This window comes from Homo sapiens, chromosome 6, assembly GCF_000001405.40.
Source record: "Homo sapiens chromosome 6, GRCh38.p14 Primary Assembly".
Classification (NCBI taxonomy): Eukaryota; Metazoa; Chordata; class Mammalia; order Primates; family Hominidae; genus Homo; species Homo sapiens.
In genome coordinates this window covers 105,455,399-105,481,698 of record NC_000006.12, presented here as the reverse complement: position 1 = coordinate 105,481,698, position 26,300 = coordinate 105,455,399, and the positions used below count along the sequence as shown (strand labels likewise).

Here is a 26,300-nt window from a genome sequence, read left to right as displayed (position 1 = left end):
GGCAGTTGAATATCTAACCATAAAATAAAGCAGAAGCAGCCAGGTGATTTGAGGCCATTTCTCTCATTTCACAGAATTATATCAACATGTTCAAAAACACAATGTATGAGCCCATATTCACAGCCAATTCTCAATTACCTGTAACTATGTTCCCACCTCCACTGCTAACCCAAAGTAATATCTAATTGATTTTGGAAGACATTTCAAATTGCTATACCTTCTGCCATGCATTGTGCCTAATTTCATTTTACTACCTTAGCACACTCTGATGGAATTGGAGGACTAAATGATAATCAACAATAATGACTGAAGAAGTGGCCTGAAATGCTTAAAGTAATGATGAAAGTTTACAAAATAGACGACCAATACAAAGATAATGACACATGCAAACATTTTGTTTTTACTGCTTTATTTTTTTATTATTTTTATTTTTTTTTTAGGTGGAGTTTCACTCTTTTTGCCCAGGCTGGAGTGCAATGGCACCATCTCAGCTCACCGCAACCTCCATCTCCTGGGTTCAAGCAATTCTCCTGCCTCAGCCTCCCGAGTAGCTGGGATTACAGGCATGTGCCACCACCCCGGCTAATTTTGTATTTTTAGTAGAGATGGGGTTTCTCCATGTTAGTCAGGCTGGTCTTGAACTCCCGACCTCAGGAGATCCACCCACCTCAGCCTCCCAAAGTGCTGGGATTACAGGCATGAGCCACCACGCCAGGCCTGCCTTCTTTATTCTTAATTTCTTTCTAATGACAGTTATGCCTTTTCAAATAACTTTCCACTGTGATTTTTCTCAATGATTTCCACAATGACAAAACGTGCTAAGTAAACTATTCTTAATTTTTTGTGGCAGAAGTATATACCTTGGGAGTATTACTATTGTTAAAAAATAATTGATAGTTTTTTCTACTTACAAACCAGGGTTGAGTTGGTGACAGTTTTTAAAGAAATTGACTTTTCACATAGTACAAGTTTTCTTAAGGTGAGTTACCTGATAAACACACTTGGCCTTTGTGATTTCCCTTTGAAGAAAAATATAGTCAGATCAACACACACACACACAAATATACAGATAATACTAATATTGATTATTTCCATTTGTTTAAAATGTATCTCCATATTGCAATAGAATTAATAAGATAATTTTGTGTCTCTTCTCTTGCAACTTGTACAAAATCCTGAAAAAGAAACTAAAAACTGATTCTGAACAAGTCCCATATGCTTGAAAATTTTGAGTTTTGCTTATTTAACAGTAGATAACTTTTAGCAAATCAATTCAAATATGCAAAGAAAACAAAGGATTGCTTTAAACAAGTTATTAACAAAGGTATAAGTATAAAGGCAAGTTGCTCCTCCTTGAATAAATGTATCTTGGCTTTGGTAAGTCTCTGTGTCACGTCCACAGCAGATAGAAGTATCAGAATGTCAGTTCTGTTTGTTAATGGCAAGATTCCAATTTTAGAATTTTGACCTCGTCTGTACTCCTTTATACCTAATTTTAAAGAAATATGCCATTATTATCTGGCCCCAGACTACATATTTTTTAAATTTAAGTTTTTATTGATGTATTTCTTGCAATATACTTGGGAAGGATGCCAAAATGTTAACATTGACATCAATAAAAAATAATATAAATGCTTTAAATGAAAGAGTGAAAGAAAAGAAGAAAGATAAACCATTTCATGTCTGTAGCCATATTATTGTCATCATTAAAGTAGAGATACAGTAAAAGTAAGAAGAGATAAAAGAATGGCACACACATGTATCCAATCATATTTATCTCAAAAATATGCCAAATTTCCATTTAAAATGTCATGGCATTTATTATTTTTAAACCATTCAAAATTTCTTCTTACTGAGGTTCTTGAAGTGGGCTCCTATAATTTGAGTAGTTGAAGACATTATTTGCCTAATATGAAGTTTTCAGTTATTAGTGTAGTTAGAATGTAATTTCTCTTAATTTGCACTAAAACTTATAAAGTTTGATACTTTTTTGCAACCTAAAACTAGGCTTTATGTTTATTGTGATGTTTGGGATCCTTAAATAATTTCTTATTACTAAAATATCTTTATACATTGGGAATCATTTAAATATGTATTAGGCTAAAATTGGTACTATGAAATCAGTGTCATACTTTTTACAGGACACATTATAACTGAATAGAGTTTCAAAGAAAGGAGTAAATAGTTATTAGAACTTTACTGCATATTCCTGCCAATAATATTGCAAAGAAATGTTCTTGTGGGAATTGAACAAGATGGACTTTTCTGTTCAGCTACTCCCCCATTCCAATTTCTGAAAAAAAAAACAAAAAAGATGTTCCTTAATTATATTAACCTTTCATCTGAGACAGGGTGTGGTGGCCCACACCTGTAATCCCAGCACTTTGGGAAGCTGAGGCGAGCAGATCACTTGAGGTCAGGAGTTTGAGACCAGCCTGGCCAACATGGTGAAACCCTTTCTCTACTAAAAATACAAAAATTCACCAGGCCTGGTGGTGTGCTGTGGTCCCAGCTACTCGGGAGGCTGAGGCAGGAGAATCGCTTGAACCCGGGAGGTAGAGGTTGCAGTGAGCCAAGATGGCACCACTACACTCTGGCCTGGGCAACAGAGCAAGACTCCATCTAAAAAAAAAACAAAAAAAAAAAATTTTCATCTGAGAGCAGGTAAACCATTGCAAAGTCATGCCCCAATCGTTGTACAATATCCATTTCCTACAGTTGACATAACAAATTCCAAAAAACAGGTCACCTAAAACAACAGAAATTTACTCTCTCACAGTTTCGGGGCTAAAAGTCTGAAATCAAGGTACCATCAGTGCTGTGTTTTTGCTGACAGCTTTGGGGAGAATCCTTTCTTGCCTCTTCTAGCTTCTGGTGATACTTGCCAGCAATCCTTGGTATGTGTGTTGGTTTGTAGATGCTCCACTCCAACCACGTGGTCACCTTCTCTCTGTGTGTCTTCAGGTAGTCTTCCTCTGTGCCCCTCTCATGTCCACATTTCTCCCTTTCACAAGGACACCAGTAAGATTAGATTAAGGTTCATCCTAATAATCTCTTTGTAACTTGATTACCTCTGTAAAGACTCTGTTTCTAAAGAAGACTACTTTCTGATGTACTAAGGATTAACACTTCAACATATCTTTTTTTCATTTTTTGGTGAAGGGGAGTGTCAAACAACTAACTTGTTGCTTATTTTTTTCTGTCCCAGACAAGAGAGGGTCTTGTTGCAATACAGAAAAAAATAGAAATCATTTATAAATATTATGGCAGGAAGGAGAACCTGAAAGTTGAAAATTAAAACTATGAAATTTCCTTTAAAAAGTAAATAATATAAAGTTGAATTCCATAATATAAAATTATGGAAAATTCCAACCATTTTTTACCTATAAAATGGTAAGTTTATATGCTCCAACTTAATAAATTAGTAGAATGAAAAGACTAGGTATTTACACACAAACAAAGAAAACGTCTTCAGCAACAAATAAATGGGTTTTATATTTTTCAGTATGCTGGCAATAGCAGGAGTCTACCTTCCTGATTTCTGAGAGAGTCCTAGAAGTATTTACATTCAAGGACTTAGTAGTACCAATACAAGTACCATTTTCATAAACATCATTAAATTATTGAGTTTGAACTACATCTGAAGTTTTAGTATTATAATAATTAATATTCTTTCAGTTGCAAATAACAAAAACTGAACTCCAAAGAGCTAAATCAAAAAAAGAGAATGTATTGTCTTATGTAAGTAAACAGACCAGGTAAGACTTGATTCAGGATTCGAACCATGTCCCAAGGAGCCTAATGTTTTTGTTCTCCAGTTTGAGATTCCACTTTCCCAGAGACAGTCCAAATTTTCCTCTGATTGGTTCTTCTTACACCATAAGTTCACCCCTGAGCCAATCACTGTGACCAAAGGAATACAATTTAAATCTGGCTCACGTGCTCTACTCTTAGGATCCAACCACAAAATTAAAAGAGAAGTGAATTTTAAATAATAAAAAGTGACACCTTTCAGATCACCTGAGCCCAGAAGGTTGAGGCTGCAATGAGCTGTGTTCACACTACTGCACTCCAGCCTGGGCAACAGAGTGAGACCTAGCCTTTAAAAAAAAAAAAAATGGAAAAACTCTCAAATAGGAAAGGAAGAAGTGAAATTGTCTCTGACCACATGATCTTATATATAGAAAACCCTAAAGAAGCCACCAAAAAACTGTTAGAACTGATAAATTCAATGAAATTGCAAGATACAAAATCAACACACAAAAATCAGTAATTATATATACTAATAACGAACTATCTGAAAAAGAAGCTAAGAAAACAATTCCATTTAAAATCACATCCAAAATGAGACACACCAAACCTCAGTGACATGTAATTTACCCATGTCTCTGGGTAAATTTACAAACCTATACATGTACCCCATGAACATGAAATAAAAGTTGAAAAAAAAATACTTAGGATAACCAAGGAGGTAAAAGATATACATACTGAAAACTATAAAACATTGAGGGAAAAAATGGAAGATGACAAAAATAAATGGAAAGATATCCCATGTTCATGGATTGGAAGAAATATTGTTAAAATGTCCATACTACCCAAATATACAGATTCAATGACATTCTTATCAAAATTCCAATGTCACTTCACAGAAATAGAAAAAGCAGTCATAAAATAAATATCACAAAAGAGCTAGAATAGCAAAATAAATCTTGAGCAAAAAGAACAAAGCTGGAGGCAACATACTACTTAATTCCAAAATATATTACAAAGCTATAGTAATCAAAACAACATGGTACTGGCATGAAAACAAACGCATGGACCAATGGAAAAGGATAGCCCAGAAATAACCCCCCACACCCAAGCTCAATTGATTTTCTACACAGGCGCCAAGAACACACAATGGGGAAAGGACAGTCTCTTCAATAAATGGTGTCAGACAAACTGGCTAGCTACATGGAGAATAATGAACTTGAACCTTTATCTCACCCCTTATACAAGAATCAACTCAAAATGGATTAAAGATTTAAATGTAAGACCTGAAACTGTAAAACTACTAGAAGAAAACATAGGGGGACATCTTCATGACATTGGTCTGAGCAGTGGTTTCTTGGATATGATCCCAAAAGCACAGGCAACAAAAGCAAAAATAGACAAACAGGACTGCATCAAACTGGAAGGATTCTGCACAACAAAGGAAAGAATTAATAGAGTGAACAGACCACCCACAAACTGGGGGAAAATATTTTCAAATTATATACAAGATAAGGGGTTGATATCCAAAATATGTAAGAAACTCAAACAATAGCAAGAAAACAACCCTATTAAAAGGGGACAAAGGACCTGAATAGACATTTCTCAGAAAGAAGACATACAAATGGCCAACAGGTATATGAAAAAATGCTCAACATCACTAATCATCAGGGGAATGCAAATTGAAACCGCAATGAGACATCACCTCATATCTGTTAGGATGGCTATTATTAAAAAGATGAAAGATAACAAGTGTCGAAAATAGTGTGGAGACAAGGGAACCCTTGTACACTGCTGATGGCAGTGTAAATTAGTACAGCCATTTTGGGTTATGGTAAGGAGATTCCTCAAAAACCTAAAAATAAAATTACTATATGATTCAGCAATCCCATTTCTAAGTATGTATCCAAAGGACTTGAAATCAAAGAGATATCTGCACTCCTATGCCAAGATATGAAACTAATCAAAGTGCCCATCGATGGATAAATTGATTTTTTAAATGTGGTATATATACACAATGGAATACCATTTAGCCATTAAAAGAAGGAAATTCTGTCATTTGCAAAAACATGGGTGAATGCAGAGGACTTTATACTAAGTGAAATGAGCCAAGCATGGAAAGACAAATACCACATGATCTCACCTGTATGTAGAATCTAAAAAAGTTGGACTCACAGCAGAGAGTAGAATGGAGGTTACCAGAGGCTGACTGAAAGGAGTGGTAGACAGGGAAAAGGGAGTTGTTGGTCAAAGGGTACCAAGTTTCAATTAGGAGGAATAAGTTCTGTTCATCTATTGTACAGCACAGTGACTATAGTTAATAATGATTTATTGTACTTTTCAAAATTGCTAAAAGAAAAAGTGCATTTTAAATGCTCCTACCACAAAGAAATGATAAGCATGGGAGGTGATGGATATGTTAATTAGCCTAATCTGACCATTATACAATGTATACATGTATTGAAATATCACATACCCCCTACATATATGCAATTATTATTTGCCAATTCAAAATAAAAATAAACTTTTTTTTTTAAAAAAATAGCAACATCAAAATAAGCCAGTCACAAAATAATGAATCCTGTATAATTCCAACTATATGAAGTACCTAGAGTAGTTAAATTCATAGAGACAGAAAGTGGAACGGTGGGTTCAGGGACCAGGGAAGGGGAATGGGGAGTTAGTTTTTAATGGGGACAGAGATTCAGTATAGGAAGATGAAAAATTTCTGGAGGTGGATGGTGGTGATGGTGGCACAACAATGAGAATGTACAAAATGCCACTGAACTGTGCATTTAAAATGGTTAAAATGATTTTTTTGTTATGTATATTTTACCACAGTAAAAAGAATGGGGGGGAAAAGCAGCATCAGTGGAAGCCAGATGATGGCGGAATGATTTTTTTTTTTTATGATGCCTTGCCAGAAGAAGAAATGCAATGTGGTGAGGCAAGCTCTGTCAATTTGTTTGAAACACAAACCAAACAGATAGAAATTACAGGAATCTCTGTCAGATAGAAAAATTGTGTTTAAATCAGGTTGGTCTCTTAACCTAAATAATGCTTTTTTATTTTGCTTTTGATTGTGAAGGTGGTAAATTCAGTCAAAACTGAAATGGGCAATTTGGGGAATCCTAAAGGTTTCACTCTCAAACAATTTGGGGGCTGTTGCATAAACACAGTTCCATCATGTCTCAGGTATCATTTGAAGGCATAATCCGCACACCTTCCAGCACCTTCAGACTGCCTGGGAAGAGATTTCTAGCATAGCCAGGGCCAGAGAGGGACCCATAAATGAGGCTATTGATGCATAACTCTATGGATTAAGTTCAACACCTTGAATTACATGGGAAATAAGCAGGAGCTGGGGGCAGCTAAGGGAACACAGGTGTGGCGTGTCCAGAGAAGCCCACATTCCTGAGTCTACAGGCGGCCATATTCTATTCAAGCTGCATTCCCCGGGTGGTCCAGCTAACAAAGCTTCCTGTCATAAAGCTATCGCTCAGTACAAGGCAAGTGTATTGTGAATGCCAGGTTCAAAACAGTTCATTGAAAACTTCTTGGTTATGTAATTAAAGCAGTCTGAGCTTTGGGAAATCCTCCAGGAGAGAGCTCATTTTGAGAACAGCTTTCCAATTCACATGTTTCATAAGCCAAGGGTGAGCTTAGTTCAGATGAATAACACACACACACACACACACAAATCGTGGGATTTAAAAAGTAGAAGTGAGGTCAAGGCAAGACCACAGCAGAAGTGAATTGGCTTCAAGAAAACTAGATATTTTGTCTCCAAAACCGTCTGTTTATTGGATTGTTTTGCTTGATTGCCACTACTGGTATCTCCAGATACAAATCTATATTGGAAAGATTGCAGGTGAAGTTGCCTGCCTACCAACCACACAGCTCAGCTTTTTCTCCCCTTTGGGCAAAAACCAAAAAATAAATTATATATGTTTTAAGTGAATGAAAGGCAAGCAGAATTTTATCTTCTGCCAACCTAAAAGAATGAAACAAAACAAAATAAAATGGTATCATTGTTCCTAGAAGTGTTTAAAAAGAGAATGGACAAACTATTTCTCCTACAAACTGTCCTTTGTCTCAGGTCAGGTGACTAGAAAGATAATTTTTCAAAGTCCTGTCCATTCTGTTATTCAATGTTTTTATCGTATATGTGGTTGTGTATTTTACTTTTTCAGTTTGCAAAAATTGCCTTTATGGACCGGGTGCAGTGGCTCACACCTGAAATCTCAGCACTTGGGAGGCCAAGGCGGGCAGATCACTTGAGGTCAGGAGTTCAAAACCAGCCTGGCCAACATGGTGAAACCCTGTCTCTACTAAAAATACAAAAAGTAGCTGCACATGGTAGCACAGGCCTGTAGTGCCAGCTACTCAGGAGGCTGAGGCATGAGAATTGCTTGAGGGAGACAGAGGTTGCAGTGAGCTGAGATCATGCCACTGCACTCCAACCTGGACGACAGAGTGAGACTCTGTCAAAAAAAAAAAAAAAAAAAAAAAAAAGCCTTCATGGTACTTCCATCATTCTCCTGTAATTCTGCTGTAACAAAGTACCACGAACTCAGTTGGTTAAGACAATGTAAATTTATTCTGAAGTCAGAGGTCCAATATCATTTTACTAGGTTAAACTCAAGATGTCAGCAGAGCTGGTACCTTCTGGAGGCTCTGAGGGGAAAATCTGTTTCCTTGCCTTTTTCAGCTTCTAGTGACCACCTGTATTGCTTGGCTTGTGGCCCCTTCCTCCATCTTTAAAGCACATCACTCTTATCTCTCCTTCCAGGATCACATCACCTTCTCTGATTTGACTCCTCCCGCATCCTCTTATAGGAACTGTTATGATAACAGTGGGCCCACCTGGATAATCCAGAGTAATCTTCCCATCTCAAGATCCTTAAATTAATCACATCTGCAAAGTCCCTTTTGCCATACAAGTAACATTCACAGGTTCCAGGGATTGGGACATGGACATCTTTGGGATACCATTATTCAGCCTACCACAGTACTTCAGAAAATTGGGTTGATGTCATTCTATGACATTGTTCTCTACTTTCAACTTCTAAAAAAATAGCCTACATGTACTAAACACTACTAGAACTGTTGTTATATCTTGGAAATAACAGGGTATAATCTATGCCTTTGGGGAGTTTGTAATCAAGTTCAGAAGACCTATTCATGAGCAGATTAGAGAAGTATTCAATAGTAAATGGAGGTGGTGTACAATGCTATTGAGCATCCACTGCGTGTTAGGCACTATAGGAGATGCTCAGTGTGAAAGATGAATGATTTATGGTCCCTAACTCTGAGTGGAATAGCAGTGCAGAGTGGAGAATTAAGTATGGGAGGAAAGCCTTTGTTTATAGAAAAAGATTGCAGGTGTACACTCACAACTAACTTATAGATGGGATTGGTGTGATGGAAAAAGCAGGTGATTGTCATAGTCCAGAAATCTGGGCTTTTCCAACAACCTGGCAAAAATTAGTTCTATATCCTTGGAAAGATCATGTCTCTTCTCTGATTGCTCTGAATTTTAGCAGCTTCCTGGTTTTAATAGTCAGTGAGTTCTCTGAATACCTTTCAGAATTTTAATAAAGAACTATTGTCAGTACTGGAATTGATGAAAAACACAACCCAAGGAACTCAAGGTAGAGAAAAGAATTCAAGATTGTTCGAAAAAAAAGGAAGGCAACAAGAATAGTTATAGTTACTGGGATAGTAAAGAAGCAAATGGATTCATAAAGATCAAGCAGCTACGGAAAGCATTGCCCTTCCAACCATAATAGAACTTGCATTGCTGAAATGATCAACATGTGTTCAGTTTGGTTTTGCTTGTCTTACTTGTCTACCACCGTAATCCACAATGTGAGGCTTACCTTTAAGAAACTTAGCACTCCTGATTGTCGAGATGTCTAAAGAACTTATGAAGTCAGTTGTTCCCTGGAGATAAGCATTAACCGCTGTGTAAAAGCTAGGACTTTCTGGCAACGGGCACAAAGTTTTCTAGCCTGAATATTCCAGAACATTCATGAAAAAAATTTTTAATTTATGTATTTTATTTATATATTTGAATTGTTTTTAAAATTTCCTAATCAAGGGATCTGTGAGAAAATACATCTTCACCTAGTTTGTGGTGAAAAACATGAGCTCGAAGTAGTCAATGTTTATTCTACAATTTAAGGCTTTTAACTTTCCAATAGCCCAACTTTAAAGTATCCCTGAACCTTTTCATTCTCCCTGATGTGGGGTTAGGGGTGAATATCAGTGAATAGGAAAAGAGGCCCTAAAAGAAAAAAAGAAAATCCTTTCTCACGAATAGCCTGAGGTGAAAAAGTGTTTGCCATTACTCCGGGGGAGTTGTGGCTGGCTCCTTCTAGTCTTGCATTCTGAGTTTTAAAGGCTGCTGTTGTTGGTTGGTAGCATTAATGTGCTTCAGGAGAAAAATAAACAGCTTTCCCCTGACCTGTTGATATTTATGGCAAAGGTAGAGGGGCTTTCTTTTTAACCCCTAGAGTAAAAGGAGAAAAAAATTGGCTCATTTGAGGGAAATGATATAACTTGTAAATGGTGTTTTCGGAAGTTTCTGATGTGGCCAACAGAAATTTTGGGTCAGCTTACAGATTTTATTTTTTCCACAGTTGTAGAAATGAGGAAAGTACAGATTTCACTGGAAATATAAATAAAAATTAAATAGAAATGGTTCACCTGGGGAACAGAGTCTTCTCCACTAATCTCCTGGGAACAAGCTACTCAGCATTTGGTAAGATACACACACAAAGAAGCACAGTGCCCAGTGTGAAGAGAGGTGGAATAAATACACGCACCGTTTGTTGGTTTCTTATAATGCTTGTTGCAGATCTAGAATTGACAGTCCTCAAACACAAGGCCATTATGTGTTCTTGTACAGTTGAGGTCTGTTTAAATGCACGGCCTTAGAGTACAATAAATTCCACCGATTTCCCTAATGGATTTATTCTTCTTAAGTTCTTTATGTGAGAAACATTACACCATTTGAACCAATGACATGAAACTGTTGAAGAGAAGATTTATTCACTTAACAGGTTAATTCATGAAAGTGTGGTTCTAATTGTTGAATTTAGCAAGTGGAAATACAACATTTGAACAGCGCTACCCATTTCCTTTCTTAACAGCAGGCTAAAATAGATTGATATTTTTCAGCCCCACTTTCATTTCATGGGATTTACACCCTTTTACTAGAGCAATCAACAGCCTTTGATTGATGGTGATGCCAATTAATTCAGATGATCTTATCCCAGGAGTTCATGGAATTTATCATTGCTGCTCATAAAAATTACCTTTATACTCTAAACTTTTTTCCTTCTCTTCCGTAGACTTTTCTCAGGACCAAGCACCTAACTAATGATTGATCACCTTTCTAACTTTGGATGATTGGTAAAACTGACATTGTCCTACTTATATACACAAAAAATATATTCCATTTCAATACTTTAATGTGTATTCTACCTCAGTGCTATTAGAACCACAAAATGTTTAAAAGTGGAACATCCTTAGTTATTTTTGTTACCTAGGTTGCAAAGTTCAGTCAACATCAACAAATATGTATTGACATATAAATGCAATGAAGGATTTTCCATGGTTAAACTAATTTTTTGCCATTTTTAAAGCACTTTTATATCTATTATGTCATTTAGTCCACACAACAACCTGCAAGTTGGAAAGGGCAAGTATAATTTTATCACTGGAAAAAGACAGAGGTTAAATGTCTTGCTAAAGGTTGCACAAGTAATTACTAGCAGAACCAGATCTTCAACACGAGCCTTCTGGCTTCTAATGCAGGGTCCTCCCACTCCACCAGGGTGTTCAAAGTCTATCCTGAGAAGCCTCCTCTGAGTCTACCTAAAAGAAGCATCGCAGAAAAGGAAGACAGGGACACTGGACCCCTTTCCAAGTTCCCTCAGTTTTTATCTGTTTCACATGTTGGGAGACTGGATAAATTTTTGTTTAAACAAGGAGATCGTTGGCAAAAAAAAAAAAAAGAGAGAGAGAGAGAAAAGAAAAAATAGAAAACCGGTGCACATTATACTGCCTCAAAACGCATAGGAAATCCTGGCACGGTGATAATGTCAATTCAGTCATTTTTTTCCCTAGTACTAGCAACTGATTTAATCAGTTTAAGAGAAAAGGGCCAATGTAAGGAGAAAAATATAATCATTGTTATCCTTAAGGCATTAAGAACCTGGTTGTCTGTTAACACCAAATTAGATCCTTTTTTAAACATTGTGTGTGTACCTTCTACAAACGTATGTATTAAGAACAGCAAAATGATGATTTGGGTGGACACAGAGATCTGGCCATAGGTGCGAGCAGTGTGGGATGAAAGCAGGGAGGATGTGATACACGTCAGCCTTCATCTCTTTAGGGTACCCGGTTGGCCATTCATCACCCAGGCCAGCACTGTGCCTCTTTAGGACACTGTATTCTAACACCATTGAATGGTTTGCTTTTCTTCCTCCAGAGAGATTTCCTGTGAGGCACATTAAGTTCAGTTTGACAAATAAGGTTTTAGGAGATAATACATGCATTGGGAGCTTTTAAGTCATGAAAGAAGAAGGATTTGAGTCTGGGGCTCCTAGTGATCATCATGCCTCTTTCCCCTCACCCTCCCCCGATACACAGAGAGGAAAGCCCTCTTCAGGAGGAGAGACAGGAGCCAAGCAGAGACGGGTCTAGCCCAGGCAGCCTCTTCTCAGTTCCCATCACCAATGTTCTCAGAACAACCCTGGCTTCTGCAGACCTTCCCGTTATTCTATGACTCTTCCAATAACAATCCTCTTTAAGGCCAAGCTAGTTTGAGTTGGTTTACCATCACCTGTGCTAGAAAAGAAAAGCCCCTAACACTGCAGTAGCTCAAAGTGGTAGAGACAGCAAAAACAAACAACTCTGAATTTGAGTCATGATAATTCCAGCCACTTAAACTTGGGTAAACTATTTAATTTCTCAAAGCTTCAGTTTCTTCTTCTATTGAGTGGTAATATTAATAACACCACTGTCACAGAGTTATTGCCACGGCTAAATAAAGTTACATGCGTGAAAATCCAGCTGTTCTTTCCTGGTGCTACCTTCAGTAGGAATATTTCTAAGGTCCCCAGTTGAGTAATAGTTCATTCATCCAACACTTATTTATTAGTCAAGTATCAACCACATGCCCAGCATATCGGGCATTGCAGCGTGAAAGTTAAAAAAAAAAAGAAGAAGGATATAGGGTCTCTGACCTCAAGAAGTTTGTAGTTTCATTGGAGAAACATACAAACTATAGATTAACTGGCATCAGAACAATTTTTGGCATAAATATGAATGGACAGAACATGAGGGGGTAGCCAAGGTGGAGTATGGCATATCAGAAAAGTTTCTTAGAGGGAGGAGAATTAGAGCCAAGTCTTAATAGTAAAAAAGGGTATGCAATAGATTACCAGAGGGACACTTGTAAGATGAAATGTCCTTCCTTGTCTGTCAAAACGTTTAGATACTTGGTCTTTCTAAGTGAAAATTTTAATATCAAATGACACTTCTGGCTTGTGATTTGAGTGACTATACTCTCCAAAGAGTCCGCTATTTGACTATCCGCGTCAAATTTAATTCTTACCTAAGCACCTGACAGTTTTCACTTTTCTGATCTAAAATTCTCTCCAAATTTTACTTTCTAAAAATGCCTTGCATGGATTACTCTAAATGAGTAAAGGGTAGATAGAGAAGTACAAAATATTGTTTTCAGATTTCCTCTAACAGCCCGTGGACTGTGAGGATGCCCATGGCATCCCTTCTGTCTAATTGGGTTCAGATACCATGAGGTTTGAACTAATAATAAAGTGACATCAGCTGGTCATAATTCAAAATCTGTCTAAAGAAATAATAATATATGATCAATATGCAGAAACGCTTGCTTAAGGAGCAGACATTAAGTGCATTTCTAAGAATTTGTAAAAATATCCTTGATTTGCCCCAAAATCCACACATTTATTGGAAAAAAGAAATTAGAAAATAGTAGTGGTTAAGAATATGGCTTTGATGTCAGGTGGACCTGATTAATCTCCCTAAGCCTCAGTTTCCTCATCTGTGAAATGGAGATAAGAATAGTTGTATCTCACAGAACTTAGTGAATACAAAGTGAGGGGATGTAAAAAGGATTCACGGTAGTGCTTGGCACACACTGTGGTAGGCATTTCATAAATGACTTACTTACGATAACTGTTCCTCAGCCCTAGATGGATGCTAGAATCACCTGGCAAGCTAAAAAAAAAAAACAAAAAAAACAATTCAGACCCACCACAGAGATTCTGATTTCATTGGTCTGGAAAGAAGCCCAGGCACTGGTAATTTTTATACACTCTTGAAGGGATGCCAGGGATGTTCCCCTGCCTTAGACTTTGGCATCATCAATACCTACAACTCCTCCATAATCTTTTTTTCCCCAAAGAAAAAAAACTATTCAATTTGATTATTTTAATTTTTTAATTACAAATAAAAATTGTATAGGTTTATAGTGTACAACATGATGTTTTTAAATACCTATACATTACAGAATGGCTAAATCAACCTAATTAACATATGCATTACCTCACATCCCTATCATTTGTGATGAGAACACTTAAAATCTCTCAGCACTTTTCAAGTATATATATAACACATTGTATTTAACTATAGTCACCATGTTATACAATACATCTCTTGAATTTATTCCTCCCGTCTAACAGAAATTGTGTACCCTTTGACCAAAATCTTCCCAGTCCTCCCCACCTCCCGGCCGCCTGCTCATGGCATGATCCAGTTTTAAGCATCCTACTTCCCATGTTCTTCCTAACTTTCCAGTTCACTCTCTCTCCTATCTCAATAAAAATCTTTTCAACTCCATGAGGACCCAGTGATTCCATCACCTTTACAATGACCCTCCCCCAACTTTTTAAAAGTGTCCCTTACTCAGCTTAAATTCCATGCTTCATCATGAAAATCACTCTCTTCATATTTTCTCAGCTCCTTTGCCCCCTTCTACTTTACCCACCTCATCTGAGGTGGTATCTGTTCTTCAAAGATAGCTCCCAATGAAACACACCTCCCAGTATTCATTCCCTTTTGTAGACCCCCTTTCATATTGAATCTGGTTGACCTGTGACTCACTTTAACCAATAGAGTGCAGTGGAAGTAACACTGTGCCCCATCCAGGACTGGCAGCTTCTGTATTTGCACTTCAGTGAACCGTAAGCTACCATGTAGAAATTCAGCTACCATGCTGGCAGGACCATGTAGAGACACTATATGAAGAGACCTTAATGGAGAAGAGATGTCGTCATCCCCAGTTCCTAGCTGAACCCAACCTTACATCTGTCTCTGCCAAGACACTAGCTCAGTTAAGCCCAGATGGTTGCAGCCCTAGCCGATACGATATGAGTCAAAAGAACAGCTTGGTCAGCCCCCATAACTGTGAGAAATAATACATTGCTATTGCTTTAAGCTATTAAGTTTTGAGGATCCTTGTAACATAGCAATAGACAAATGTGATAGAACTTGGTTCCTACAAGTGCAGTGCTGAGATAACAAAAACCTAAAATCAGTGACATTGACTTTGGGACCAGATAGAAGCTGGAAAAGCTTCAGGAAGACTATTAGTGAAGACAGTAAGGGCAGTGAAGAAATTGCTCTTGGAGGCTGGAAAACAGGGGGTACCTAAGTTACGTACTGACCAAAAAATTAGCAAAAACTGTTATATCATCGGAAAAAGGGTCCCTAATGAAGGGTGAGTTTGGCTATGGAGGCTTCTGTCTAATGGAATGGATTGTAATTTGATACACAGGAACTCACAAAGTTTTTAAAGGAATTATATCCACTTCTAGCCATCCAGAAAGACATGTGAATGAGCTATTGTGAACATTTCAGCCCAGTCAAGTGCACCATATCACTGCAGCCCAGCCTCACGCCTTGTGAAGCAGAAGATCAACAGGTCAAACCATAGACTCGGAAGAAACAATAAACTGTAGTCGTTTTTAAATGACTGCATTTGGAGATTTGTTATGTAGCAATAGATAACTGAAACACCTCAATTCTAACTGAGTACAACTCTTCTGTGCAAGTGTGCAAATGTGGCATAGGTGCATTCCCAAAGCTGAATGAGGCTGGAGAAAACCACATGTTGACAGGTCTTTAAATCATGACCAAAACTTCAAGTAAAATCTTAGTACTATAGAATAATAATACCACATGTCCTGAGTTCATACAGTTATTTACCTATGCCATCTTTTTCTCAGTTTTTTTACCTTACCTCTTCCAAACTGCCAATATCCTATTCTCCATCGTCACTGTTAGCCTACGACTTTTGCTCCTTCTTTCACTGTTAAAATAGAAGCAATTAAAAGATGGTTTTCACAAGCTCCCTTCATATCTATTCATCTACCTGTACTGGAGGCCATCAACTCTGCTTTTCTTTCCACTACCACAGGCAAACTTTCCATGTTCTTATTTTGTGCCAACCCCTCCACTTTTGCATGAGATTTCCTTCTCTATCACTTCAGCCTCTCTCATCTCTGCTTCAGCATTTTTTCTCTCTCTCCTGGGTCATTCCATAAGGGGGAAAAAAATCTCCCATCTTAAAACTATCCTTCTCTTCATCCCACTTTCCCATCTAATCACTATCAATCACATGTCAGTACTCTCCTTTATAGCAAAATCTCTCAAAAAGGTTATCCAGAGTGTCTCCAATTTCTTTTCTCCTATTCTTCTCTAAATTCACTCTGATAAGTATTTTACTCCTAACCATTTCACCAATGCTCTTCATACAATCACCAATGACTTCCCTGTTGATAAACCCAAAAGCCAATTCTCAGTCCCTATTTTATTTGAACTTTCAGCAACATTCGACATAGTTGCGCACGTCCTTTTATTTAAATCACTTCCTTTATTTGGTATCCAGGACACATGCCCTTTTGGATGATTTCCATTATACCAGCCCCTGCTTGTAGTCCCCTTTACTGGTTCATCCTCATTTTCACAACATCAGAAGGTCATCCCATGACCTGGGTCCTTGGACCTCTCCTCTTTCATCCATTACTACATACTTGTAGATATTATCCAGTCTCATAACTTTAAAAATCATCTATATGCTGCTGTTGACTTCAAAGGTATATTTCTAGTTCTAATCTCTAAAGGACAAACTCATAACTGCTTACTCAATCATAGGTATATCAAATTTAACATGTCTAAAGTGAATGTTTTCCCTCTTCCACCACAACCTATTTCTCTCATTTTTTTCCGGGCTCAACTCTGTTCTGTACTGTTGCTCAGGCCACAAACCTTGGAGTCATCTTAGACTCTTTTCTTTCCCTCATACTACACATCTAGTCAATCAGCAATTACTGTTGACACTCTGTATTAAATGTGTTCAGAAGGTGGCCACTTGCCACTCCTCCACCATGGCTACCTTTGTCCAAGCCATCATCATCTTTGCATAGATTGTTGCCACAGCTTCCTCACTGGTCTTCCTACTTCCCTACAGTTGTTTTCAATACAGCAATCAAAGTGACCATTTGAAAATGTGAGTCAGGCATGTCACTCCACTGCTCAAAATCTCCAATGGCTCCCAACTTACTCAAGTTAGAACCCTTACACTGCTTACAGGGACTAGAAAGTCTGTACCCCCTCACCACCACCCTTCCTCTCTGACCTCACTCTCATTCCACTCCAGCCACTCTGGGTTTCTTGGCCTCTCCTGGCAGGAACTAGGGCTTTTGTACCTGCTTCCACCTAGAATGCTCTTTTTCTAAATATCTTTATGTCTTCTCCTTCAACTCTTTCAATACTCAAAAATGAACTTCCAGTAAAATTTTCCCAGATAACTTTTTCTAAAGTTTCCCAAGAAGTCTCTAATGCCCATTGCTATAGCAATTATACCATTTGTGTGTACATATAGGAAGCTCTTACTTCCTGTCTCCACTAATATGCAAGCTCCATGAAAGTAGGGATTTGTCTCTTTTTATTCACAGTTGTTCCATCATCAAGAACAGTGCCTAGCACATAATAGGTACTCAGAATATATATATATTTTTTTGGTGGGGGGATGGGGGGGAGAGGGACAGAGTCTCACTCCGTCACCCAGGCTGGAGTGCAGTGGTGCAATCTTGGCTCGCTGCAATCTCCACCTCATGGGTTCAAATGATTCTCCTGCCTCAGCCTCCAAAGTAGCTAGGCTACAAGCATGCACCACCACACCCAGCTAATTTTTTGTATTTTTAGTAGAAGTGGGGTTTCACTATTTTGGCCAGGCTGATCTCAAACTCCTGACCTCAGGTGATCCACCGGCCCTGGCCCCCCAAAGTGCTGGGATTAGAGGCGTGAATCACCACGCCCAGACTCAGAATATATTTCTTAATTGAATGGATGTAGCCTTAATAAAAATACAAATTCTAGAGCTACCAATACACACAACAACACAGATAAACCTCAAAAACAATGCCAGGCACGGTGGCTCACACCTGTAATCCTAGCACCATGAGAGGCTGAGGCAGGAAGATCACTTGAGCCCAGGAGTTCAAGATCAGCCTGGGCAACATAAGGAAACCCCATCTCTACAAAAAATACAAAAACTAGACAGGCATGGTGGCACATCCAAGCTACTCAGGTGGCTGAGTTGGGACAATCGCTTGAGCCCAGGAGGCAGAGGCTGCTGAACCAGGATAATGCCACTGTACTCCAGCCCAAATGGCAGAGTGAGACCCTGCCTCAAAAAAAAGGTTGCACTAAAGAAACCAGACACAAAAGAGTACATACTGTGTGGTTCTATTTACTTAAAACCCTAGAAAAAAAAAATAAAGCTAATTTATAAATACAGAAAGCAAATCAGTGATTGCCAGAAGCTAGGGGTGGGTGAGGAAATTGACTGAGAAGGGACACAAAAGAACTTCTGGAGGTGGTGAAAATATTATTTACCATGACTGTGCTTTGCTGTATATAAGTTATACCTTAGTAATTTTTATTCTATATATCTGTATTTATAAAAATACAAATTCTATAGTTAGGACCATATGTCACCAGGTTATGTGAACAAGTGCCAGAAACATAAAGAGTTAATTTATGTGTTTGGAGTAAAAAGACTCACAGTGATTTTGAAAGAAAAAAAGATAAATCTCACAAATCATAACCTATAATAAACACAGTATTTAGAGACTGAAACATAAATGACACTTCTCTCACCACAGTGCATTGTGTCTTTAGGAGATGTTAGCCAAATGTGTCATGCCTTGGGTTTAGTTCTTCACATTTTTTTTTCTTTCAGCAAGATTCATTCATTTCTACCTCTTACTAAATAGAACATGTAACTCAACTTCAGTCAAAATAAAGCCAAGATGGGAAGAAGACAGAGCACAATGCCCCCTGTCTCACTCCAGGGCCTATCAGGAAACTCAAAATGGGAATTTAATATAGGTAACCAGTATGAGCCAACACTAGTGGAACAGTAAACGTAACTCTTTCAGAGTACCTGAAACGTAACTCTTTCAGAGTACCTGAGAAAAGGATACTTTTTAAATCCAAGACCTTTTGAGAACCATGCTCAACAAGTATATTTCCCATGCATTTTAAAAGTTGGGTAGATCCATAACACATTTATTTGTATATGTTATATAAAAATAAAATTTTAAAAAACTTATAAGAACTCAATAAAGAAAACAGCAAAACATTTCCATGGGACTTTTAAAAAGACTAATTGATGGAGACATTATGGCCTCTCCTAAATGGACCTATTCTCTCTAAGTTAATCTATAAAAGAAAGAATTGTTGATACAGCAAAAGGTTGAATTAATCGCCAGATAATTATGCTAAGCAGAAAAAAACAATCAAAAGTGTTATATACTATATGATTCATTTCTATAATATTCTTGAAATGGCTAAATTATAGAAATGTAGAACAGATTAGTGGTTACAAGTGGTTAAGAAGGTGGGTGGGGGCAGGAGGGAATTGGATGTGACTATAAAGGGCAGCAAACAAGAGGGATCCTTGTGGGGCAGAGATGTTCTGTATCTTAACTGTACCAGTGTCAACATCCTGGTTCACATCGTTCTATAGTTTTGCAAGATGTTATCACTGGGGGAAACTAGGTAAGGGGTACACAGGATCTCACTGTATAATTTGTTACAACCGTATGTGAATCTACAGTTATCTCTAAATTAAAACTTTAATTTTGAAAAAGTGAAGCAATTACTTAACCACTGGGGGAAAAATGAAATCATATCCCTATTTCAAACTTGACATCAAAACTAATTCCAGGAGTTTGAAGAGTTGAATATAAAAACAGCTCATATCTACCATATGTTGGGCAATTTCTACGTGCCAAGTATATTCATAGAATGGGAGAGTTCCCCAATCCCCTTGGAGAAATTGCAATAAGGGTGTGGCTCATTTGCTCGGGTCACCATGCACTGAAATGCCTTATGGGAGGGGTAGCATGCAGACGGGCAGGTGCAGGAGTCAGGGCAAGCGTTTTTGGGCTCTGGCCCCATGGTAGCATCTAAGGGTGTGTTACAATTAATATTCTTTTAGCAGTTGCCATCCACGGACAGCTGAGTGTTAAACCAGCTTAGCGGAGGGTCAGGGTGACAGCCTTTTACACCCTGCCCTCTGCCCTCTTGGTACTCGACTCCTTATCCAGCATCCAGAAAGAATCAGGTCACATGGACTTGAAGAATGGTGAATGTGAGGATTTTACTGAGTGATGGGGGTGGCTCTCAGTGGGATGGATGGGGAGCTGGAAAGGGGATGGAGTGGGAAGATAATCCTCCCCTGGAGTTTGGCTGTCCTGTGACCAATCTCCTCTCTGTTCCCAGCCGAACTCCTCTCGACATTCAGACGCTCTTTCTGTTCTTTCCTTCTCTGCTGTGCCACTCTGCCACTGTTTTGCTCCTTTGCTCTTCTGCTTGTGGAGCCTGGGGTTTGGGGTTTATATAGGTACAGGATGGGGGGGTGTGGCAGGCCAAAAGGCAACATTTGGACACAAAAACAGGAATGCCCATTCCCATTTAGGGCCACAGGTTTCCAGGCTTGAGGGTGGTGCCTTTGCCGAGGAACCACCCTCTTCTACCCAGTATTTCCCTGCCTCCTGTCCATGTCATTCATATATATTCTCATGTTATTCTTCCAAGAAATTTGTGATAGAGGTATTATTATCCACATTTTAACAAAGAGGAATATTAGTTCTTTTCCTAAATTTGCACATTAAAAAAGAAAAATCTACACATAAAAGAGAAATAATACACAGCAATGTGTTAACCTTGATTTGGATGAATAAGAGTCTAAGTGTTTTGAGATTTTTCTTCTGTAATTATTTATATGCACTGGGTTTTTCTATAATGAACATGCTTTCTTTTTAAAAAAAATTTTAAGATTATGCGAAAATAAAGGAAGGAATTTTTATCGGGGACAGGAACAAGTCAGTAGGAAGTATGGCTCACACAGCACAACACACAAACCCAGGTTAATATAAACTATGTTCTGATAATTGCATCTAATTACAAGGGAGAGCTAAGCACTAATAATGTTTAAGGTGGACGTTTTTAAAATAACAATTAGCAATTACAAAGGAGAAATTTGGCAACATTTGAGAAATGACTGAATGGAATAAATATAACATTTCTTAAAAGGTGATTTTATAATTACTAATTACTTTTGCTCCAATTTCAATCTACTTGGAAAAAAAAAAAAAGATGGGCAGTCCTGAAGCCACAGGACTGCTGTAGTTGTCCAGGCAAAGAGTAACCAGAACCTGAATTGGGGGATAGGAAGGAAGGGGCAGAGATCAGAAAAGTTAAGAAGGAAGTGAATAAGACTGGTGATTCATTAGCAATAAAGAACAATGGGCAGAGAAAAGCCAGAGTGTGATGTAAGAGACAAAAACAACATTGGCTAGTCTTGGTTTTGCCACAATCCAGTTGTAGATCCTCAGGACAGATATTTAATGCTCTCTTAGCTTTGTTTTCCTCATCCCTACAATGAATGTGTTCCTCTATAACTTCTCAGGTCCCTCCAAGATCTAACGTTTTGAGGCTGAGTGACCAGAATGATGAAGGTAACATGAACAGAAGTCCCACAGAGGAACCTGATCCCAATTTCTGGGATTTAGATGATTCTGTTGAAGCTGTTTGACCTTGGACAAATTACTTAACCCTTCTGTGTGTCCATTTCCATTATAAAATGGTAATAATAATAATAATACTGCCTACCTCGTAGAGTTGTCCTACATAAACCTATAGGGGGGTGCCTAGCATATCATTAAGTCTCAACAGATGTGAACAACCAACAAAAATGCCATCTGTTCTTAAAACTGATCACAACTATGCCTCACGGTTTCATCAGAGAGACTCTCTAGACAACAAAACTTTTGTCATAAAATCCAACTTTTATGACATCCCCTCATATATATTATAGGAGCAGATGTTGGATGTTTATAGAAATGTGACATGTAGGATTTTGAGTAGCTGAGTCACTAGACTTTCAGAGTTGAAGCCTTCAGATACTACGTCCTAGAGTGAGTGCTCGTTGTCACGTCCACTCTTCCTAGCCCAGCACCATCACATCCTAATATTTGTCATAGGTATTACCCCAAAGCAACAGAACATGAAGATCTGAGTCATTATGAAAAAATAAGTGTTGATCCAGCTGCCGTAACTGTCAGAAACAAACCACTCTGAGCACAACGGATGCCAGTGCACCAGATTGTGAGGGTGTGTGACTGACCTCCCAGTCAGTCCTTGGCTCCGTTGCCGTCACTTAAAGGATTTGCAACAAGAACATGGCGATATGGCACATTTATGCACGTATGTGCTTCCCTCCCTGCCCAAGCCTGTTCTCACCTGAATCTCATAATAGGGATGGCAGTTCAAATAACGTCTGCCAACCAAAAAAAAAAAAAATAGTAATTATTTGCCTGGGACTCCAGGAGGAAAACTAAGTACAAGAGTGTCAAACTTCAGGGGAGAGGATACCAGTGAAGAAACATTATTAGAACATATGTCTTGACACTAAAATTATAGGAAACATCTATGCAAAAGATGCAGAGAAATTTTTGCTATTATCATTTAAGATTCCATTGAGTGAATTTTGTAAAACTTGTGATTTCAGAGCCAACTTTCAATTTCAACTCACATAAAGCTGCATGAATCAGGCACTCTCTAGGTCACCATCTAGAACAATGCTAAGGGTACTTTCCAGTGTAAAGTCAGGGTAATTCTCTTCTATCCAGTTCCCTCAACTTCACTTTAATGGCCACCAAAATTGCTGGTATGGAAATTCCTATAATGTAAGGGGAAAATGGCGGTTAAATGATTATTCCTTTGTTTCTCTCTATAGTGGTAAAAATATTTTTGTTTTATCTCTGGCTTAACATTTTTTTCATCTTTGTCAACATTATATACTGACTAGGCAGAATGTTTATATCAAACCTTAGAGTCTCTGGTTTGCAGGTTCATAAATGAAGAAAGTGACTCTGTTTGTTTTTCCTGATCACCTGAACACAAAACAGCCCTATCAGCCTCAGGAGCTAAAACCCAACTATCATGAGCTCATCCCTTACACCTTGAACATTTGATCTTGTAACACATTGCAAGTTCTCATCATCTATCCTTTTGTCTACAGGCATTAGTAGAGATGATCTGTAGTTTTGGTTTTTTCCTTTTTTTTTTTTTTTTCTGCTGACAAAGCTGTGGAGAGGAGGGTGGGTGTTGAAGAAGCTGCTGAAGAAGCACTAGCAGTTTGTCCTTAAACTCAAAAATTTCAGTGGTGCCTACAGCTCTTCCAGTAATTTTTAAAGGGCCTATTTCCCTGAGTTAAATCCTTTTCTTCTTCAAATACCTGGAGGTATTTCTATTTCCAGTTCTGAACATAGACTGATAGTTAATACCATTGGTCTAGGACAATGACCCTTAGGGATGGTCCCGACACACCATTTACAAAGCGAATTGGTTTTTCTGAGGTATAAAAATACACATTGAAATTGGTTTTCTGGCTACCTTACTTTTACTAAGCTGAGTTCTTTTTATTGGTGTTTTTGTTATTCCTGCTCTCCTAATTATTGAAAAATCAGTGAATAAACATAAACAGCACAGCCAGGAATTCTTGGCTCATGCAAAGGGATTTTTCTTAATGCTCATTTTATCATCTACTAAATAATTGAAGGGATGATGATATTCATGAATCTTGGTGGGATCGTGGAAGCATTTGAATGAGAGCTATAAAACTAGTGATAAAATGTTTACTGATGGTATATAATTTGCCTAGACTTTACAGAACACCGCAAGTTGTCACTTTTCTATTATCACGACAGTTTCAAAAATAGGAAAATTGAAACTCAGAAAATTTTGGTCAAGGAAAACGGCAAGCAGCTAAACAAAAACTCAAACCTCGGATATTTGGTTCCAAACACCATGCCCTACTTTCTACCCCATACTACTCCTCTGTACATTAGAGATCAGTACATTAGAGATCAGACCTAAACATTTTAGGCAGTATTTATAGTGTACACACACACACACACACACACACACACACACACGTATGTATGTTTGTATATGTATCAAGAGGCACAAAACTCTTTTTTATCACTATTTTTCTTGATTTAAGAGGCACAAAACTCAACCTTGATTGTTCAGGGTCATTAGTTTTTAGCCATTTTTCTTATTAGAGTAAGTATTTTATAATATCAGGATATATTTTATCTTGATTCTAAATATATATATACACACACATTTTATACACATATATTTATATGTGTATATATATGTATATATGTGTGTGTGTGTATGTTCCTTAACCTCTGAGGTTTGGTTAAATACTGACCTTCACTTCTGGATTGCGAGGAGTATAGGTCATATTAAGGCTTAATGTTCCAATTCTATTTTTAAATTATCCGTTTATAAATTAAGCCACTTTAAGCCTGATGCTCATCCTCGTAGTTCTCTTTACAGCTCTCTCTCCTCTTTAAGTAATCAGTTTCTTCTCTTTCTCTTTTATGTCAAAAGCCTTCCTGAGATAATGAAGGTCAATTCTTTCTCCGTTAGGGATATCTCAAATCTCTCCAAGGGCTTCTTCAAATCTCTCCGAGGGCTTCATTTCCTATGCAGAGTGTGCTATCCTTAATCACTTGAAGAATCTTTTGACAGAGCCTTTTGTAACGTTTTTGTAGTTTCCTGCTTTACAGAATTTGCAGGCTTAGTAAAAGCATGGATAGAACCAGAGCCACTGCAAGCAGAGCCAAAGGTGGAAGGATAGTGAGGCAGATCCTTGACCTCAATGCTCCCTAAACTGGAGAGAAAGTGGATGAAAAACAACAAAATATTAATTCTCCTGTTCACTTATTTCTCTTTTGCTAGTTGAGAATTAGCTGAAATACAAAATCTTCACTATGTTACTGAAGACCAGTTATGGGGATTGTGTTCTATTGTTTCAGCTTGCTACATGTGATTTTTAAAAAATCATTAAATAACATTTTAGAATGTTTTTAAGTACTCTGTGTTATACAGTGAGAGAAGTTTTTATCTCCCAGTATAGGGTTTTCTCCAGGTATGCCTTACCTTCCCCTCTCTCACCCAGATTTGGATGCATAAAAATAAAAGAAATTGCCTTCAAAAAGCCAACTGGCATGCAAACCTTGGAGGCATAGCAAATACATTGGATGATGGAACCTGGGCCAAAAAAGGTTATGACAGGCTTGAACTATGAACCAGAACCAACAAGGGAAAAGTAAGTGATTCTTCAAGCAAAAGCCTATACCTGTGCACAATAAAACACCTGTGGAGGTTGCTGATTTTACTGAGTACCTTCTTGGTACTGGTCCCTCTTTAATGCACTTTTGCTTGAGTTATCTTGTAAATTATAGTAAAAAATAAATAAATAAATCACCGTATAATACTGCAGTGGGTAAGTTAATGCAATGTTAATGAGAACGGGGTTAAATGGGAGTTGGCTGAATCATATTTGAGTTCATGTTATGAGTGGGTGCATTATTTCCTGGTTTTATTGGAATAAGTGTAAGAAAATGCAGGACTTTGGGCTTTCAGTAATCCCTATACTGCTGATGAGCAGTATATGTGGAACTATAGCACTAGAGCTAGTAAGATGGTAACGAAACCACCTTCTGCTGCTGAGACCACATGGGGAGTCCTGCTTCCACCCATAGAGATTATTCTCTAAGTGAGAGAGGGCAAGTAGGACCATCTTCAGAAGAAAACAGAGCAGCATCTCATTTTAAGTGGGCCACAAATTCTAAAGTCATCACACTAAAATTATGTATAGTCAACTTTATCTTTGAACATTTTTTTTTGAGACAGTGTCTTGCTGTGTTGCCCAGGCTGGAGTGTACTGGTGCGACCTCGGCTCACTGCAACCTTCACCTCCCAGGTTCAAGTGATTCTCGTGCCTCAGCCTCCCAAGCAGCTGGAACTACAGGCGCACACCACCACACCTGGCTAATTTTTTGTGTGTTTAATAGAGATAGGTTTTCACCATGTTGGCCAGACTTGTCTTGAACTCTTCG

At 38.0% G+C, this 26,300-nt stretch overlaps 1 long non-coding RNA gene across 1 annotated transcript, besides 2 other annotated features; it reads right to left on the bottom strand.

Moving 5' to 3' along the window:
* Positions 1 to 392: 392 nt before the first annotated feature.
* Positions 393 to 25,069, bottom strand: LOC105377921 (uncharacterized). The gene is made up of 2 exons (XR_942832.3): positions 24,605 to 25,069; positions 393 to 3,004 (listed from the first exon to the last, which is right to left on the bottom strand). It is a non-coding gene; the product is annotated as an uncharacterized LOC105377921 (long non-coding RNA).
* Positions 22,153 to 22,212: an enhancer, noted in NCBI's record as "active region_24871". NCBI's record gives its function as "activates an Ori minimal core promoter by ATAC-STARR-seq in GM12878 lymphoblastoid cells {active_cell/tissue: GM12878}" and the evidence as "EXISTENCE:reporter gene assay evidence [ECO:0000049][PMID:35858748]".
* Positions 22,223 to 22,492: an enhancer, noted in NCBI's record as "active region_24870". NCBI's record gives its function as "activates an Ori minimal core promoter by ATAC-STARR-seq in GM12878 lymphoblastoid cells {active_cell/tissue: GM12878}" and the evidence as "EXISTENCE:reporter gene assay evidence [ECO:0000049][PMID:35858748]".
* Positions 25,070 to 26,300: the final 1,231 nt, after the last annotated feature.